At 49.6% G+C, this 18,008-nt stretch overlaps 1 protein-coding gene across 3 annotated transcripts in view; it reads left to right on the top strand.

The window, feature by feature from the left end:
• Positions 1-11,709, top strand: part of COLQ (collagen like tail subunit of asymmetric acetylcholinesterase) — a 71,574-nt gene extending 59,865 nt beyond the window's left edge. For all 3 annotated transcript variants that reach the window (NM_080539.4, NM_005677.4, NM_080538.2), the window contains 5 exons: positions 3,517-3,656; positions 5,263-5,382; positions 5,823-5,943; positions 7,911-8,013; positions 10,129-11,709. In NM_080539.4, coding sequence (NP_536800.2) covers positions 3,517-3,656; positions 5,263-5,382; positions 5,823-5,943; positions 7,911-8,013; positions 10,129-10,198 — 554 coding nt within the window. In that variant the 3' untranslated portion in view covers positions 10,199-11,709. The remainder of the gene's footprint in view (positions 1-3,516; positions 3,657-5,262; positions 5,383-5,822; positions 5,944-7,910; positions 8,014-10,128) is intronic.

Raw genomic sequence — 18,008 nt, 5'->3', positions numbered from 1 at the left:
CTGTTTCCCAGGGTTCCAGAACCCCTGTCCCAGCGCCATCGTGAGATAGCCTTGGCCTCTGTAGACCACAGGTTAAAACTCCCCTGGTCTAGTCCTACCCTCCCCTTAGAGAAAAGAATCTTGAACCTCAAAGAGAAGTGATGCCTGCAAGGTCACAGCAGTGACTGGGGGCCACCCTGGTCCAGAATGGGTGAGTGTCAGCCAGGCGGCCCTAGAGGTTGTTGTGCTGGTTCCTCTGCCCTCTCCTAGATTCCCCTTTCCTGATCCTTTCCCACTGAGGCAGCCAATGGAAGCGGGAGCCTGCCTGGGAAAAGATGGAGAGCCAGGTCCTCTGGCTGCAGGGGGTGGCGATGAAACCCAGCTGAGACATGATCTCCCAGAGGTCAGGGTGGGGAAGTTCAGGTTGCTGAGTCCTTTAGTATAGCCTGGCAGAAAACAGGCAGGGGTAACAGATGCCCTGCAGCAACTGGGAGGAAGCTGCAGGGAAACTGCAGTGGTGGCAGCAGGCTCCCTGCCACATCCTGTTGGGAGGTGACCTCGGTTTCTGGTGCCCAGCTCTGTGGGACCAGATGGTGCTGGGGGAGGTGGAAAGGGTGAGAGCTTTGTACTTATCTGAGTTAGAGGGTAAGAGGGGCTAAGAGGTCGGGGGGGGAATAAAGGCAAAATGCCTTTAGGATGTAATTTGCAATAATCAAATTACAAATTTGGCTGAGTCCTTCCTGTACCCAGACAGAGTATAAGTGAATCAACGTGGTACCTGGGAATTGCCAGCTTCCTGAGAGCATCAGTATTCTTGGACATTTGTCTTTTGAACAGCATAGTGTTAAGTAAAACATGAATTCAAATCTCAGCCTCACCATTCATCAGCAGCTAATGGGACAAACTCCTGACTGTCTCTCAGGCCATGGTTCTGGAGGAGTTGTTGGGGTCACAGAGCCTTCTGGAAGGCTGTTCCAATGCCACCCTCATATTCTTGGTCACAGAGCTTTTCCACTTCAATTTCCCCAAGTGCTTAATTACCCAGAATATTCCTAGCCTGGTGGATTCCCTGTCTCTCTGGGCTCTTCTGAAAATATCAGAACACAGACTGGAGCTCTTCCTACAGAATTATATTTGTATTTCTTGTTAGAACAAACAACCATAACTTAGGATAAGATATTGGCACAGTGCCCTTCCCCTCATGCTGTCAGCATTCTGATTGTACGAATACCTGTCAACTCGCTCAGGAAAGTTCAGTCTCCTCCGACTGCAGTGTTTTCCCTGGGGTCCTGGCCAGATCTCTCCCCTGGGGTCATTTTATTTCCTGCCCTTCTGGATCTGTGAACTGTGTTCCCAGCCCCTGGCTGCCCCAGATGTCATACTGCCTGACACCAATGACTGGCTGGCCTCCAAACCCACCCCTCGCTATTTTCCCAGAAGAAGGGATCCTTACCTATTTCTCTTCTCAGTCCCCATCTTTTTTTCTCTTTCCTCACTTCCTGTTAGATGGCTTTTGTTCTGGTGCTTTTCTGCCAGCCAGAATGTGACTTTTACCCTCTTCTGAAGACTTTTTCTCTCCAATTAGTCGGCATTCATTCATTCGATCATCAAACACTTTCCATGCCCCTACTTTGTGTAAGCCCTGGTGGATGAAAACAGGCACTAGCCCTGTCCTTGTGGAGCGACATTCTACTGGAGATCAACCTTGATGGAATAATCTCACAATATATAGAATCACAAAGAGAAGTGCTGTGAAGAAAGGCATAGGAAACCATGAAATTGTATCCCAGGTATACATGACAGAGTCTGAGGATTCAAAAAGTCTTCCTTCAAGAAGTGATGTTTGAACCCAGATCAGAAGGGAGTTGAGAGGCAGCTGGGGAGGGATGGAGGATGAAGGGAGGATGATCTGGCAGGGGAATGGCCCAGTTCTCAACCTTGGGGCAAATTGGAATCATCTTGAGAGCTTTTAAAAATATGGATGCCTAGCACATGTATACATATGTAACTAACCTGCACATTGTGCACATGTACCCTAAAACTTAAAGTATAATAATAATAATAATAATAAAATATGGGTGCCTGACCAGGCGCGGCAGCTCACACCTGTAATCCCAGCACTTTGGGAGGCCAAGGGAGATGGATCACTTGAGGTCAGGAGTTCGAGACCAGCCTGGCCAACAGAGTGAAACCCTGTCTCTACTAAAAACACAAAAATTAGCCAAACCTGATGGCACGTGCCTGTAGTCCCAGCTACTCAGGAGGTTGAGGCAGGAGAATCACTTGAACCTGAGAGGCGGAGGTTGCAGTGAGCTGAGATTACACCACTGCACTTCACCCTGGGCGACAGAGTGAGGCTCCGTCTCCAAAAAAAAAAAAAAAAAGGATGCCTTATGCTAAAGTGGTAAAAAAATTTTTTTTAATAAATAAATAAAAGTGTGGATGCTGCCTAGGTTCAGTTCAGTTTTCAGAAGTCTTGATGGAATTGGTCTGAGGTGTATCCTGGGTATCAGAGCCTTTAAAAACCAAGGTACTACCCTCACAGTTCTTCCACATTGCTAGGGAGTACACTTTCTGATCATATCTTTTCAAGACATGTCCTCACTTCTTCAGCACCAGGGGAGGGTAAATGGGCAGAGCATATACTAATGTTCTATTTTCTTCCAGAAGAAATGAAAGAAACCCACATCCAGAAATTCCTCTGTAAAGATCCTACATTGGCTGGGTATGGTGGCTCACGCCTGTAATCCCAGCACTTTGGGAGGCTGAGGTGGGCGGATTACTTGAGGTCAGGAGATCGAGACCAGCCTGGCCAACATGGCAAAACCCCGTCTCTACTAAAAATACAAAAATTAGCCTGGTGTGGTGGCACACACCCGTAATCCCAGCTACACAGGAGGCTGAGGCAGGAGACTCACTTGAACCTGGGAGGCAAAGGTTGTAGTGAGCCAAGATCGTGCCACTGCACTCCAGCCTGGGCAACAGAGCAAGACTCCATCTCAAAAAAAAAAAAAAATTCTATATATAAGAAAAACAAAAGTTTTTTAAAACAATAAAAGTTAACAGTCAATAATGTGTTTGTCGGCAAGAAGCCCTCTGTTAATAATGGTCTAAACAAATAAGACATTGTTTTTCTCCAATAAAGAAATCCAGAGGCAGGCAGTAGCTGGCTTTGATTCAGCCTCTGACTGTCACTGTCAGGGCCCCAGGCCCCATGAGCCTTTCGTCTTTCCTGCATGTTGGCTTATCTTCTCATGCTTGTGACTTCCTGGTTGCAACACGGCTGCTGCAACACCAGACATCTTGCCTGTCTTCAAGGCAGGAAGGAGGGGGAAACTATCGCCTACCAGCTATTTTTCTTACCTTAGCTCCTCCATGTCTTGGATCAAAAGCATCTCTTTGAACCTCTCCCTCAGGCATACCCTGAAATGCTGTGGACTTTAACCTTTTTTCTGTTGCAAAGGTCGCTCACATCTCCCTGGTTGTTTGGTCTTCTCTTCCTTGGCTCTAGTAACACAGCAGTCTGTTGCTTCCTAGGACAACTTATAATGGGACCCAAAGGGGAAAGAGGATTTCCCGGGCCTCCAGGAAGATGTCTTTGTGGACCCACTATGAATGTGAATAACCCTTCCTACGGGGAATCTGTGTATGGGCCCAGTTCCCCGCGAGTTCCTGTGGTAAGGCTTTCTGGGAGAAGTCTGGGGTGGTTATCCGTGAGGACCTCTCACCTGATCCTTATGGGGCTTTGTAAAATCCTTTCAGTAAAACTAACTTTTTTTCACGACTCTGAGTACACCCTCATTATAGGAAATTGGAAAATATGAGAAAATCAAGAGGAAAACCAAATTGTCCATTTGATTGTGAGTCCATTTTGGGGTATTTTCTTTGTCTTATTAAAATCTAACTTTTATATGGTTGAGATTATATTGTATAAAAATGTACTTTTGGCCGGGCATGGTGGCTTATGCCTGTAATCCCAGCACTTTGGGAGGCCAAGGTGGGTGGATTATAAGGTCAGGAGTTCGAGATCAGCCTGGCCGATACAGTGAAACCCCATCTCTACTAAAAAATATATTTAAAAAATTAGCCGGGCGCGGTGGTGCACGCCTGTTGTCTCAGCTACTTGGGAGGCTGAGGTGGGAGAATCGCTTGAACCCAGGAGGCGGAGATTGCAGTGAGCTGAGATAGCACCACTGCACTCCAGCCTGGGCAACAGAGCGAGACTCCGTCTCAAAAAAAGTTATACTTTGTTATCTTAGTTGAAATCCTGCCATGTTTCCACACTCTATAAATAACATTTTAAACTTTTTATTAGGGAAAATTTCAAATACATATAAAAGCAGAACAAATAGTGTAATGAACCCCTGTGTACCCTTCACCCAACTTTAATAATGATCAACTCATGGCGAGCCTGTGTCCTTGTTTTCTCTTTATGCCTACTCACTCCTGCCCATTCTCTGTTGTATTATTTTGAAGTAAACCTTGGACATCTGTTCATCATAATCATCCATCTAGTGTGGCTGTGCTACAATTTACTTAACCAGTGTTGGTGTTTAACCAACCTATTGCTTATTGGCCACCCCCAAGCTTTTTACTAATGTAAATAATGCTGTAAAGAATATCTTTGAGTAGGATAATTTTAAGAATCACTTCCAGATGTCAAATTACTTGACTATATGACATTGCCTTTTAACTTAAGTCTTGGGAACGTTTTAAATATTTAAAAATGTTAAATCCGAGGCCGGGCGCGGTGGCTCATGCCTGTAATCCCAGAACTTTGGGAGGCCGAGGTGGGTGGATCACCTTGAGGTCAGGAGCTCGCAACCAGCCTGGCCAACATGGCGAAACCCTATCTCTACTAAAAATACAAAAGTTAGCCAGGCATTGTGGTGCACACCTGTAATCCCACCTACTCGAGAGGCTGAGGCAGGAGAATTGCTTGAACCCGGGAGGCAGAGGTTGCAATGAGCCGAGATCACGCTACTTCACTCCAGCCTGGGCAACCGCGTGAGACTCCATCTCAAAAACAAAAGAAAAAAAGAAAAAAAAGTTAAATCCGAGTGAATATTTTAGTTTCAAACTCAGACATTAGGAACTCGATTGAGAAGATGAGGGAATCAAGACACTCCTCTCACTTCAGAAGGAATGCTAGAGTGTAGTGTGCAAACCCCTCTTCCCACTGTTGAGCAGCCCAAGGATAGAGATTCTGTTTCCTCCTCCAGCTTTTTTCCTGCCCCCTGCAGAAGTGTTTTCTGGAATCCTCACCAGTGTGTTCTCTGGCAGATTTTTGTGGTCAACAACCAGGAGGAGCTTGAGAGGCTGAACACCCAAAACGCCATTGCCTTCCGCAGAGACCAGAGATCTCTGTACTTCAAGGACAGCCTTGGCTGGCTCCCCATCCAGGTACCCCCAGGCCATTACCTCAGGACATACTCCCTGCCCAGGAGAGAGATGCATCCATTAAAGGAAGGGAAGGCCACCCCACTGGGCCTGGGGAGGGCTTTCTACAGTCTGTCTGCATGGGAGGGCTGAGCATCCTCCCTCAAACTCTCTCTGAGCAGCCCTCCATTCCCCCACCCTGACTCCCAAATAGAAGCCCCTCTCTGAGCCAGGGTTCCAGATGGTCTCCACATCCCTGCGTGCCAGGTTGCTGTCTTGATCTGACCCAACATTTAACCAGCTACAGAGCTCTGGGCAACAGGAAAGGAGTACCTTTCCCACCCCTGGGAGGAAGTCAAGGCATGCCCCCCAGCAGTGCCTTTGGACCAAAACCAATGACCTCCCTGCCTGCGGCTGCCTGGGTATGCCATGCTCCAGTTAATGCTGTGTGCTTCTTTGGCCAGCTGACCCCTTTCTACCCTGTGGATTACACTGCAGACCAGCACGGCACCTGTGGGGATGGGCTCCTGCAGCCTGGGGAGGAGTGTGACGACGGTAACAGCGATGTGGGTGACGACTGCATCCGTGAGTGAGGCCCAGACCAGGAGGACCTGAGGCCTGAACAGCAGGGGGGTGGGACTCAGGGCCAGCCCTGGACACCAGCTGTGGTGCTTTGGGACCTTTCTAGAGCCAGAGAAGGGTATACCCAGGCCACCTTGTGCCACCCACCCCAGTCCCTGCTGCCCCAGTTTCAGCCCAAATATTAACTCTTCCACCACCCAAGCACCTCACCAGGGGCGGATGTCAAGGATCCTGCCCCCAGTTAGGCCTTCTTTATCTCAAAATGTAGCCACCAGGTCCTCCCAGTCCTACATCTTAGCAAAACCCATGTTACAGGTGCAGAAGATAAAGGTGATGGGCTCTCACTTTGCATGGAGTAGTGAAAGGCAAAAGGGAGAGGCCAAGAATCTGAATGAGGGCTCATTTACCAGGTAGAGCTCTAGTAGCAAAGCCCTCCGTAGGGGAAACTGGGCCAGCCAGAGCTGCTGTCAGCCTCGTGGGCTGCTGCCTTAACTGGTAGGCAGCAGGCTCTGGAGGGCTTGCTTTTGTTTGTTTTTGTTTTTGTTTTTAATCAAGTAACAAAACCAGGAGGTGTGATGGAAAGCAGGAGCTTTAGAGTCAACAGAGGTTGAATGCAGGCCCTGAGAAACACCAACCACCCTCAGGCTCAAGGCAGAGGCCACATGGTGGGTGGGGTAATGGGGGGCAATTTACAGCTCTGAGCCTCACTTTCCTTGCCTGTAAAATGGGTATGATGTGCTGGCTGCTCAAGTCCCTAGAGATCCTGTGAGCTAACATGTGCAGAGATTATCTGGATATAGTAAGGGTTCAACCACCATTCACTGAATTCATTTAGGGCTTGTGGTTTAAGCCCCTGCTCTAAAGATCCAGGCTGGGGCTCAGGGCTGGATGTGTGGATGCAAAGTCATGGTCCTTGCTCTCAAGAAGCTCAGGGGAGGCTGGGCACAGTGGCTCATGCCTGTAATCTCAACACTTTGGGAAGCTGAGGTTGGAGGATCACTTGAGCCCAGGAGTTCAAGACCAGCCTGGGCAACAGAGCAAGACCCAATCTCTACAAAAAAAAATAAAAATTAAAAAAATTAGCCAGGCCTGGTGGTGCGCACTTGTAGTCCCAGCTGCTTAGGAGGGTGAGGTGGGAGGATGATTTGAGCCCAGGGGTTCAAGGCTGCAGTGAACTGCGATTGCACCACTGCACTCCAGGCTGGGAAACAGAGCGAGACCCTGTCTCAAAAAAAAAAAAAAAAAAAAAACAGTTCAGGGGAAGGATGACAGGGCAGAGTGGGTGGCGGGAGATGCTGCTGACTGTCTCAGTGTGGCCGAACTGTCTCCCGACAGCTCCAGGGATGGCATCCCCTAGAAGGCTGGCCCTGCCCAGAGTCCCTTCTGCCTCTGGTGCACAGTGTCAAATAGGAGCTCTCACAGTAGGAAGGAACTAATGGACTGTCCCTGCCCTGTGAAAACAACGCTGGGATCCATACTCCAACACCCTCCCATCGTGTGAGAGCAGAGGTCTTTGCTGAAGATCATGTGGCTCCCCAGGGACACAAGGCTGGGCTCACCAGTGTCACACAGAAGCTCTCTGTTGACAGATGAGAGTCACCATGCACCCTCACTGGGGCTCAGCAGTCTTCCAACCCTCACTCCCGGGACCCCCACACTGGCTTTATGAGGTGGAGGTCATGTCAGTGTCCCAGTTTTGCAGATAACAACCTGGAGTCTCCCCACCCCTCAGCTAGTAAGTTGTGAGGCGGGGCTGGAGCCAGGATCTCCTTCTTCTTGTCCCATGGCACATCGCTGTGGGACCAGAGCCTGTGGGCAGTCCCTGGAGGAGTGTGAAGCTTAATGGAGGTCAGTTCTTTAAGGGGTGCAGCACTTAGGTTGGATCCCTTGGGCCGCATGGTCCTTACAAGCTGAGGCAAGCCTATCGCCTCTGCTCCTTCTCAAGACTGCACCTCCTTATGTCCCCTCAGGCTGTCACCGTGCCTACTGTGGAGATGGTCACCGGCATGAGGGTGTGGAGGACTGTGACGGCTCTGACTTTGGCTACCTGACATGCGAGACCTATCTCCCTGGGTAGGGATGACTCCCCTCCCTCCCTCTCCCCCTTCTTTCTCCCTCCCTCCTCTTTGCTTTCCTTCTTTCCTTCACAAATATTTTGAGTGCCTCTCCACTTTGTGGTGCCTTCTAGACACTGAGGTATGGTGATGAATGACACAACACGTGCTCCCTGCCTACCACGTGCCCTCTTGGTCAGCACTGCCTGCGTGCCACTGAGACTGAGCCACGGCACCCACAGCCACCTGCTCCATCCAAGGCCCAGAGGGGAGCTGCGGTCTCTGAGCTCAGCTGCTGCCCTGCATGAGCAGCCCCCAAACCCAGTGGTCACCATGACTACATAGTCTCCTGGGCTGTGGGCCTAGGTGGGAAGCCCAGTGGAGAGTAAAGGTCTCAGGGCATTTCCAAGAATCGACATGTCTACCTAACCTGACTTCCCTGGAACACCCTGCCCATCCCTCAGGCATGCCTGTGACTGCAAGTGAGATCAAATCAGCCTTAATATCTAATTTTGCAAGCTCATGGCCCCTCCAAGAAAATACTCCCTCCAAGGACCCCTCTAGTTATTTCTGAGAGTCCTCAGTGGCTATTTATGTTGTTCAGGACAAGTATTCTAGTGTCCTGGCTCCACACTGGCGCCTGCCAAGCCAACTGAGGGCCACCGCCCCATGAGGTGCTGATTCCATGCCCAGATTGTAACCACTGGGCTCCTTCCAAGGTGCAGAAGGTACATGTCTCCCCAGTCCTTACAGAACCAGAGTTGTACAACGTTCTCAGGAAAATGGGGAGGCCGTTCCTTTTTACCTAGGCCATGCCCTGCTCTTCACTGGGTTCCAGAGTGGATCTACTGGTGCTTCCGATCTCTTCTGTCCTTGAGTCCAGTCCCTTCAGCTTTTGCTCCCATCCCATTTTCTCTTGTAGACTCGGACCTGGGCCCTTGGCAGGGCTGGGGAGCCATGCCTGTCTCTCCATTGCCTTCTCTGTGCTCTCTCTTCCAAGGGGGTCTCCCTAACACTCAGATATTAGCATGTTCAACCAGGCTGGGAGAACTACAGACCTGTAGTCTCCCCCAGTCTCCCCCAGACTCTAAGCCCATTTAGGCTTGGCCAGGACCCCACTCCATGTATGTGTCTGTGTGCAGTGCCCCTCTCCCTGAAGGAAGGAAGACCCCTGACAGGCCTCTGCCAGAGAGTTGGCTCTTCATGGCTCCACAGAGACAAATCAATGTAGACGATCAGATATGGAGTACAGGATCGAGTAGAGCCCAGGGCTCCCCCACGCTCACTGTGGTTACACAGCTATTCCCCAGAAGCCTCAGAGGGACGCCTGTGACTGTGCCTGTAAGGTTTAACGCCCTGTCTCGGATGATCATCCGGGCCTACAGAGGTATAAACTGCACTGTCCAATATGGTAGCCCCCATTCACAGGCTGCTGTTCAAATGTAAAGTCATTATAAGTAAACTTAAAATGCAGTTACTCAGGCCAGGCACTGTGACTCACGCCTGTAATTCCAGAACTTTGGGAGGCCAAGGCGGGCAGGTCACCTGAGGTTCAGAGTTCGGCACCACCCTGGCCAACATGGTGAAATCCCACCTCTACTAAAAATACAAAAATTAGCTGAGCTTGGTGGCACGTGCCTGTAATCCCAGGTACTCAGGAAGCTGAGGCAGGACAATCGCTTGAACCTGGGAGGCAGAGGCTGCAGTGAGCCGAGATCACACCACTGCACTCCAGCCTGGGGGACAGAGCGAAACTCTGTCTCAAAAAAAAAAAAAAAATGCAGTTATTCAGTCACAGTAACTACATTTCAAGAGCTCAATAGCCACATCTGGCCAGTGGCTTCACAGATACAGGACATTTTTGTTGGTAGGCTGCATCGTAGCAAGGGGGATTCCCTCACAGATGCTGTGCTAAGAGCAGGGCAACCACCTCCTTCCACCCAGGCCCCGAGCTAGACCTCAAGGCAAAAATCCCAGAGACATGATTCAACTCCCCCAGGCCTCTCACTCCAAATGAGAATGGGAAAAAGTTCTTGTAGAGCCATTGGCCCTTGGCCGCTGTTTGATAAGGTTTGACCGGAAGTCACCAGCATATAAGAGGTGGCCTTTTAGAACGTGTCTTTGCCTCCCTCAGGTCATATGGAGACCTGCAATGCACCCAGTACTGCTACATCGACTCCACGCCCTGCCGCTACTTCACCTGAGGGCCGTGAGGAGAAGGTGGGCTGCGCCCCACAGAACTGGCAGCAGCTTCTCCACTGTCATCAAACTGGCCATGTCCTGGCCCCGTCTCCACCAACCTTTGTGTGACAAAAACAAGGACAAATTCCTGCTACTAAGACATGCTGTTAACTCAGTCTGACTGGAAGAATTTAGGACCACTGCATCCTGTCTTAATCCAAGGTACTGGAAAACCTTCCACATGCCCAACCTGAGACCTGTTCCCCATCGCTACCATTTGGCCAAACAACCGGCTACAATGCTCTTCCTCTTCTGGAATGTTGCTGACCCAGGCCGTGGACTTGGCTGAGCACTGTTAGACACACACAGACCTGCAGGCTGTTTTAGAATGTTTTGATCTCTTTGGGGAATCTGGAGTACAGGCCTCTCCGCCCCTGACCACCGAAACGTGCAGGCATTCTCACTCACACTGGGCAGCCCGCTGTCGGGTCTCTCTAGGCCTATGAACCACAAAGCAGGGAAGTGGGCACGTTCTCTCGGGGTGGCTCACAGCTTTGAACCTGCCAAAGGACCCCTCGACTGGCCACAGCCCAGCCCAGCCTGACGTGGATGTGGCTGCCCAGGAAAAGACTTAACTGTGAAAAAGTACTGAGAACCCACCTGACCCAGGCTTGCCCCAAGCAGAGGCTAGAGAAGAGGCTCCTCTTCTCAGTGTTTCCCAAAGGGGCGGCTCTTGTGGTTTCAAAATCTCTGGCACCATCTTGACCTCTTGGCTCTCTCTGCACTTTGCCCCCTGTCTCAAAAATGTCCCTCATGTCCATTTCCTGTCCAGGAGACTCATGAGGACTGTGTGACCTGCACAAGCCCACACCTGGGCAGGCTGTTGGTGTCTCCTTGGTCCTTAGGCAGATACTCCCCTGAGTCCCCGATCTAGGGCCAGCTGCAGAGGGCTCTCTCTAGGCAGAGCGTTCCTGGCCAGAGCTCTACCTCTTTGCCTCCTGCTGACCCCTGACAGCGTCCCGTGGCATTTCTTTCATGTCTGCATATTGCATAGCCTTGTCCTCCTGTGTGCCTGAGCTCCTCCCTTTTCAATAAGATTATTAGTCGTGCATGTCTGTGAGCTGCCTTTCATCACCATTTTTCCTGAGTAGGGCTTAGTTTTATTCTGGAAAGACATCTCCAAGGTGAGGTCCACCCCCACAGCAGACCTCAAGTAGAAATTGCCCAATTTTTACCAGCTGGAGGGACACCCTTGGGTTTTTGTACGAAGCTATTTAATGAGCCTGTGTCTTGGGGACTCAGCAGGCTGGAGCTTGGGGCCTGGTGGACCATCACCTGGTGTCTGTAGGTGGACCCGGTCTCCCACAGGTGACATCAACCTGAGGGTGGCGTCTTTAGAGACAGGCACATGGGCAGCCCTGTTCCCTTCGCCTCTACTGCGAGGCCTGGGGAGATGTTGTTTTCATGCTGCTTCCACCATCACACTGGGGTTTCTGGATGGGAAATAAAAAAATAAAGGCAGTTCATTTCCCCACTGTGGCTCTCTCTTCCGTTGGTGGTGGGGGTGGGGCCGGTGTCTCAGCATTGCCAGATGGAGGGAGGAGTCTAAATTCAAATCTGCTTCCCAAACTCTGTGGAGGGTTCTACAATGTGGAAGCATTCCAGTTCCCTCAGGCACAAGGGAGGAAACAGATCCAGAGATGTCATGGACTTGCCCAAGGTCAAAAAACCCAGTCTTGCTAGGCCAGCCCTGTCCTCAGCCCTAGTTTTAGGACCTTGTTTAGGATGGAATGGAGGTCTAGTACTACTCCTGGATCTGGCCAAGAGAGGCCCTGTCCTGGGTCCCAAGGCTGGAGGGCCCTACCCTGGCCCTCCTCTGGCCATTACCCTCCCCACAGGGTGAGGTCTCTATGTGGCCAAAGTAACATACCCGCTGGAGCTTGCAAGCCCCACTCCTAGACCATGCTCCAGGTACCTGGGAAACCACAGTTCCCCACCCAAGTGGTCTTGAGCCTGCTTCCTAGACCTGCAGGCCTCTTGCCCATGTCTGTCCTCCTGAGTGTGACCTGAAACACATGCAGGCCTGGGGGTGGCCAGCAAAAAGTTGTTTGTAGGAATTATAGATGGGGCTTGGAATGTGGGCTGGGATTTCCTCATGGACACACATGAAGCCCTTCTTAGTGTGGGATGGGCCAGGGGTAAAAACAGAAGGGGATCTGGCAAGGGGCTGGACCCTCCTCTCCTCTTGCTACCACAGGACTTTGTGGAATCTAAAATTCCAAATTCAAACCTGGCCTTCCATTCTTTATGAAAGTATCCTTTTTGAGGGAAGCAGATAGAACATATTGAATCATTTAATTGGGAGTGGTGGCATGTGCCTATAGTCCCAGCTATTTGGGAAGCTGTGGTGAGAGATCACTTAAGTCCAGGAATTTGTATTTATCCATTTTCATGCTGCTGACAAAGACGTACTTGAGACCGGGCAATTTACAAAAGAAAGAGGTTTAATTGGACTTACAGTTCCACGTGGCTGGGGAAGCCTCACAATCATGGCAGAAGTCACATCTTACGTGGATGGCAGCAGGGAAAGAGAGAGAATGAGAAAGAGCTTTTGCAGGGGAACTCCTCCTTTTAAAACCGTCAGATCTCATGAGACTTATTCACTATCACAAGAACGGCACGGGAAAGACTTGCCCCCATGATTCAGTTACCTCCCACTGGGTCCCTCCCACAACATGTGGGAATTCAAGATGAGATTTGAGTGGGGACACAGCCAAACCAGATCAGGTGGCATGTGCCTGTAGTCCCAGCTACTTGGGAGGCTGTGGAGAGAGGATCACTTGAGTCCAGGAACTCAAGGCCAGCCTGGGCAACACAGTGAGACCGCCCTCCCCGCCCGCCACCTCTAAAAAACAAAAAGCAAAACAACAAAAATAGTCTGTTCTTTGATTATAATGTAAATACCTAAACATTTGGTATGTGAGTGTCCATATATGCTCTTTCCTGGTCCCCGAAATATTAGGGATGGGCCTATCTGGAGCTATTTCAAGGGACGGTTCTGAAAGGCTCAGGACATGAAAGGATTCAAAGTCACATGTTTTAAGAATATGTGTAATAGTAGTAATTCTGGCCCTTTGGCATTTTGAAATTGAAAGATGAGAGATCGGGGAAGGTGGGCAGCTCCCAGCCCTTCCTGAAATCCTAACTGTGATGTAGGGAGCTGGTTCCCCATGAAGAAAAGTGGCTGTGCTGCCCAGGGAGCCACATAATTGGTATCCAAGAGCTCATCTATGCCAAGTAGATGTTTCCTGAGATAATCTGCTGGTCCTGGAGGAAGTTGGGGTGCTACAATGAATGTGGAGGGAAGAACACTGAACAGGGGGTGCAGGTACCTGGATTCAGACTGGGTTCATCACTTCTCATGGTCTCAATTTCCTCACCTGAAAAAGACTTTCAATAAGGGCTGATTTTTCTTGCAGCTCTAACAGATTGTGGGTGTGGCGCCTGCCCTTCACCTCTGACAACATACCCTAGGAACAGGAACGGATTCCCTTAGCTGCTCCTGAGGCTGTCACATGGGGTGGCTTAGAATAAGACAGGGTCTCAGAGATGCAGTTGGTCACCAAAGAAGGCTATGCCAGTCCATATGCTTTTGTTGGCAAGAACAGAAAATCCAGTCTGAATACCACATATTTATTGGTTCATATAACTTTAAAAGTCCACTGGGGTGGGGTGATCAGGCATGATTCAGTCAAGGTCCCCACTCTATTCCTCTACTATCCTCTCAACTATTTGAACCTTTCCATTAATTTGATCCTTAGGGTGGATCCTTAGGGTGTTGACTGCTGCAGTTTCAAGCTTACATCTGCACCCTGCAGAATCCAGAGGAAGAGACAATGCCTGTTCCAGTGGCTCTCAAGAAATTCTTTTCCAGCCAGGCATGGTGGCTCATGCCTGTAATCCCAGCACTTTGGTAGGCTAAGGTGGGTGAATTGCTTGAGCTCAGGAGTTCGAGATCAGCCTGTATAACATGGCGAAACCCCATCTCTATAAAAAATACAAAAATCAGCTGGGTGGAGTGGCGTACACCTTCACTCTCAGCTACTTGGGAGGCCGAGGCAGGAGGATCGCTTGGGCCCAGCAGGTTCAGGCTGCAGTGAGCCATAATCACACCACAGGACTCCAGCCTGGGTGACAGGGTGAGACCCTTTCTCAAAAAAAAAAAAAAAAAAGAAAAAAAAGAAAGAAAATTTATTTTCTGGAAATCCCCAGCAAACCAAGGAGGCAGTGAGCCTCCTTGGTCTGCTTTGGGTCACACGCCTGTTACTGAACCAATTTCTATTGGTCAGGAGAATGGCACTTGCTGACGAATGAAGGCTGGGTTCCTGAACCCATGGAGACAAAGGTTATAAGAATTTAGGACCACTGCATCCTGTCTTAATCCAAAGTACCGGAAAACCTTCTGCATGCCCAACCTGGGAACTGTTCCCCATCACTACCATCCAGCCAAACAATCGGCTACAATGCTCTTCCTCTTCTAGAATGTTGCTGACCCAGGCCATGGGCTTAGCTTAGCACTGTTAGACACGTTATTCTTAGCCTATCCCCTGGAGATTCTGCAGAAGCACAGAGGCTACATGGGGGTGACTTCTGGACCAAATATTGGGGAGCATGAATTGGGGGAATGGGTACAGGGCACACATAATGTCCATTCCACTGGTTATCTGGTTTTGCTTCTCCTTTTGGCAGGAATAGGTGCTGAGTTGCTTGAGGCAAACCTTTGGGAAGACTGCTCACACCATACCCAGAAAGCTACTGGTTGATTCTTTTTTTTTTTTTTTTTTTTTTGAGATGGAGTCTCGCTCTGTTGCCCAGGCTGGAGTGCAGTGGCACAATCTTAGCTCACTGCAACCTCTGCCTCCCGGGTTCAAGTGATTCTCCTGCCTCAGCCTCCTGAGTAGGTGGGATTATAGGTACAAGCCACCATGTCTGGCTAATTTTTGTATTTTTTTTTTTTTTTGAGACAGTGTCTCACTCTGCTGCCCAGGCTGGAGTGCAGTGGTGTGATCTCAGCTCACTGCAAGCTCCACCTCCCGGGTTCACACCATTCTCCTGCCTCAGCCTCCTGAGTAGCTGGGACTACAGGCGCCCGCCACCACACCTGGCTAATTTTTTGTATTTTTAGTAGAGACGGGGTTTCACCATGTTAGCCAGGATGGTCTCAATCTCCTGACCTCGTGATCCGCCTGCCTCGGCCTCCCAAAGTGCTGGGATTACAGGTGTGAGTCACCGCACCCGGCCTGTACTTTTAGTAGAGATGGGGTTTCATCATGTTGGCTGGGCTGGTCTCGAACTCCTGACCTCAAGTGATCTGCCTGCCTTGGCCTCCCAAAGTGCTGGGATTATAGACAGATGTGAGCCACCGTGCCCGGCCTGCTGTTCGAGTCTTTTAATTTTTTTTTTTTTGGTAGAGATTGAGTCTCACTATGTTGTCCAGGGTGGTCTCAAACTCTTGGCCTCAAGCGATCTTCCCACCTCCACACCCTGAAGTACTGGGATTGCAGGCCTGGTTGATTTTGACAGGTCCACTCACAGAGACTGACTTCTCACAGAGTGCCATAGGTCAAGAAAGATGTGGTGTAGTTTGTGAAAAAAGCAGAAGATTGGATTCACACATCTGGATTTGAAGCCTGGCTCTGCCACAAACTCGCTGTTTAATTAACCCGCTTAATTTACTTCACTTCTCTGAGTCTCTGTTTTCTTACCTCTAAATGGGGAATAATAGTACCTTATTTCAAGGTTGTGGTGAATTTTAGTGATAACATGGTTTAAGGCCGGGTGTGGTGGCTCACGCCTGTAATCCCAGCACTTTGAGAGGCCACGGTGGGCAGATCACCTGAGGTCAGGAGTTCAAGATCAGCCTGGCCAATATGGTGAAACACCCAACTCTGCTAAAACTACAAAAATTAGCCAGGTGTAGTGGTGCACACCTATAATCCCAGCTACTGGGGAGGCTGAAGCATGAGAATCGTTTGAACCTGGGAGTCAGAAGTTGCAGTGAGCTGAGATCGTGCCACTGCACTCCAGCCTGGGTGACAGAGTGAGACTGTCTCCAAAAAAAAAAAAAAAAAAAAAATGTTTTGGAAGTGTTGGATTTTATTTGTTGTTATCATTATTTAGTGGCTCAGGCCAAATCAATCACCTCTTTGGGGATCTAGGGGTATTCACAAAGTTTCACAGTGATTTTTTTCAGGTGGCGGGAGTAACAAAGCAAGGCTAGAGATGTCATTGGAAAGAAAGCAGTAGTCACTCAAAATAAGGAATGGTTGGCCGGATGCAGTGGCTCTTGCCTGTAATCCCAGCACTTTGGGAGGCCAAGGTGGGTGGATCACCTGAGGTCAGGAGTTTGAGACTAGCCTGGCCAACATGGTGAAACCTCATCTCTACTAAAAATACAAAAAACGTGGCTGGGCATGGTGGCAGGCACCTGTAATCCCAGCTACTTGGGAGGCTGAGGCAGGAGAATCTTTTGAACCTGCGAGGCAGAGATTGTAGTGAGCATCATGCATTGCACTCCAGCCTGGGCAACAGAGCAAGACTCCCTCTGAAGGAAAAAAAAAAAAAAGGAATGGTTATGACACTTTTCAATTGCAGCAGTGTGGGAGAAATATTTCTCCTGTTAACGTTGCAACTGGCTTTCTGGTGTCGGCTATGACAGTCTGAGGCATGGTAGGGGCACAGAGCTGACTTACTCTCTCTACCCAGACTGATTTTTTTACTCTTTCAGTACTGGACTGGTTCTGATGCTTTCACCAGTAACAGAAGCTCAAGCTGTGCTCAACTGACCCCCAAGGATCCAGCCTGTCTCTGGGATTCTCTAGGCCGTCCCGGAACTCCTACCATGACCAGGGAAGTGTAGGGTTGGGGTTTGGCCCTAGACCTCTTATCTGTCCACCTGCAAAGCCGTTTTAGTAACAGATTTGGAAGCAAAGTAAGGTTTTTGATGGCAGCTTGGTCACCAGCACTTCACTTAGGAACCAGTGCTGGGGAAGCGGATGGGACAATTTCTGAGTGTCTCCTGGGACAGACACATAGGCCATCGCTCCGCTAGGGGCATGGAGGGTATGTGTGGGTCAAATTGCTAAATAATCTCCAAAGCTCATTACAATTAATGGGCCGACCTATTCCCCAATGCCTGCTTTACTGGAATTGTTCGGCCCCATCCTTCCCCCACAGTAGAGTGAGCCAATTTAAATTTTCAATGCAGTTCTTCAGCACTTGTGTGATGATAATCAGCTTACAGGTCAAGGACCTTGGCAATTCACCAAGGAGATTGTTACATTTGAGCAATTCACCATTACAATCCATGGGCCCAGAGGTTCCAGGAGCCTGCTTCCAGCCACCTCCACCAGGATGCCAGGCATGTGAGTGAAGCTAGCTTGGACCCTGCAGTCCAGCCCATCTGCCAGCTAAGTACCACAGTTAAAGCCACAAGAAGCTGACCTGCCTAGCCAAGCTCTGTCCCAATTTGTAACCAACAAATTCCATGATGTAAAATAGTGATTGTTTTAAACCACCAAGTTCTGGGAAGTAGCTTGTTACTTAGCAACAGATAACTGGAATAGTGCTCTTGGTAAGAAATGGCAGGAGGGGAGCAAACTATACACAGTGAATGAAGGAGGGAGGGCCAAGCCAAGAGAAGCCATTGGGTGGCTTTTGGTGCCCTCTGCATGAATCATGAATAGAAATATCTTAACTCTTACTGGAACTTTCGTTTATCTGGCCAGGAACAATGCCAGAATTGGGAGGGGACTTAGCGATCATGTGGCCCAG

The sequence above is a fragment of the Homo sapiens genome, chromosome 3, assembly GCF_000001405.40.
Source record: "Homo sapiens chromosome 3, GRCh38.p14 Primary Assembly".
Classification (NCBI taxonomy): Eukaryota; Metazoa; Chordata; class Mammalia; order Primates; family Hominidae; genus Homo; species Homo sapiens.
Note: the sequence above shows the minus strand (reverse complement) of the source record. Positions and strands in the feature narration are given on the sequence as shown.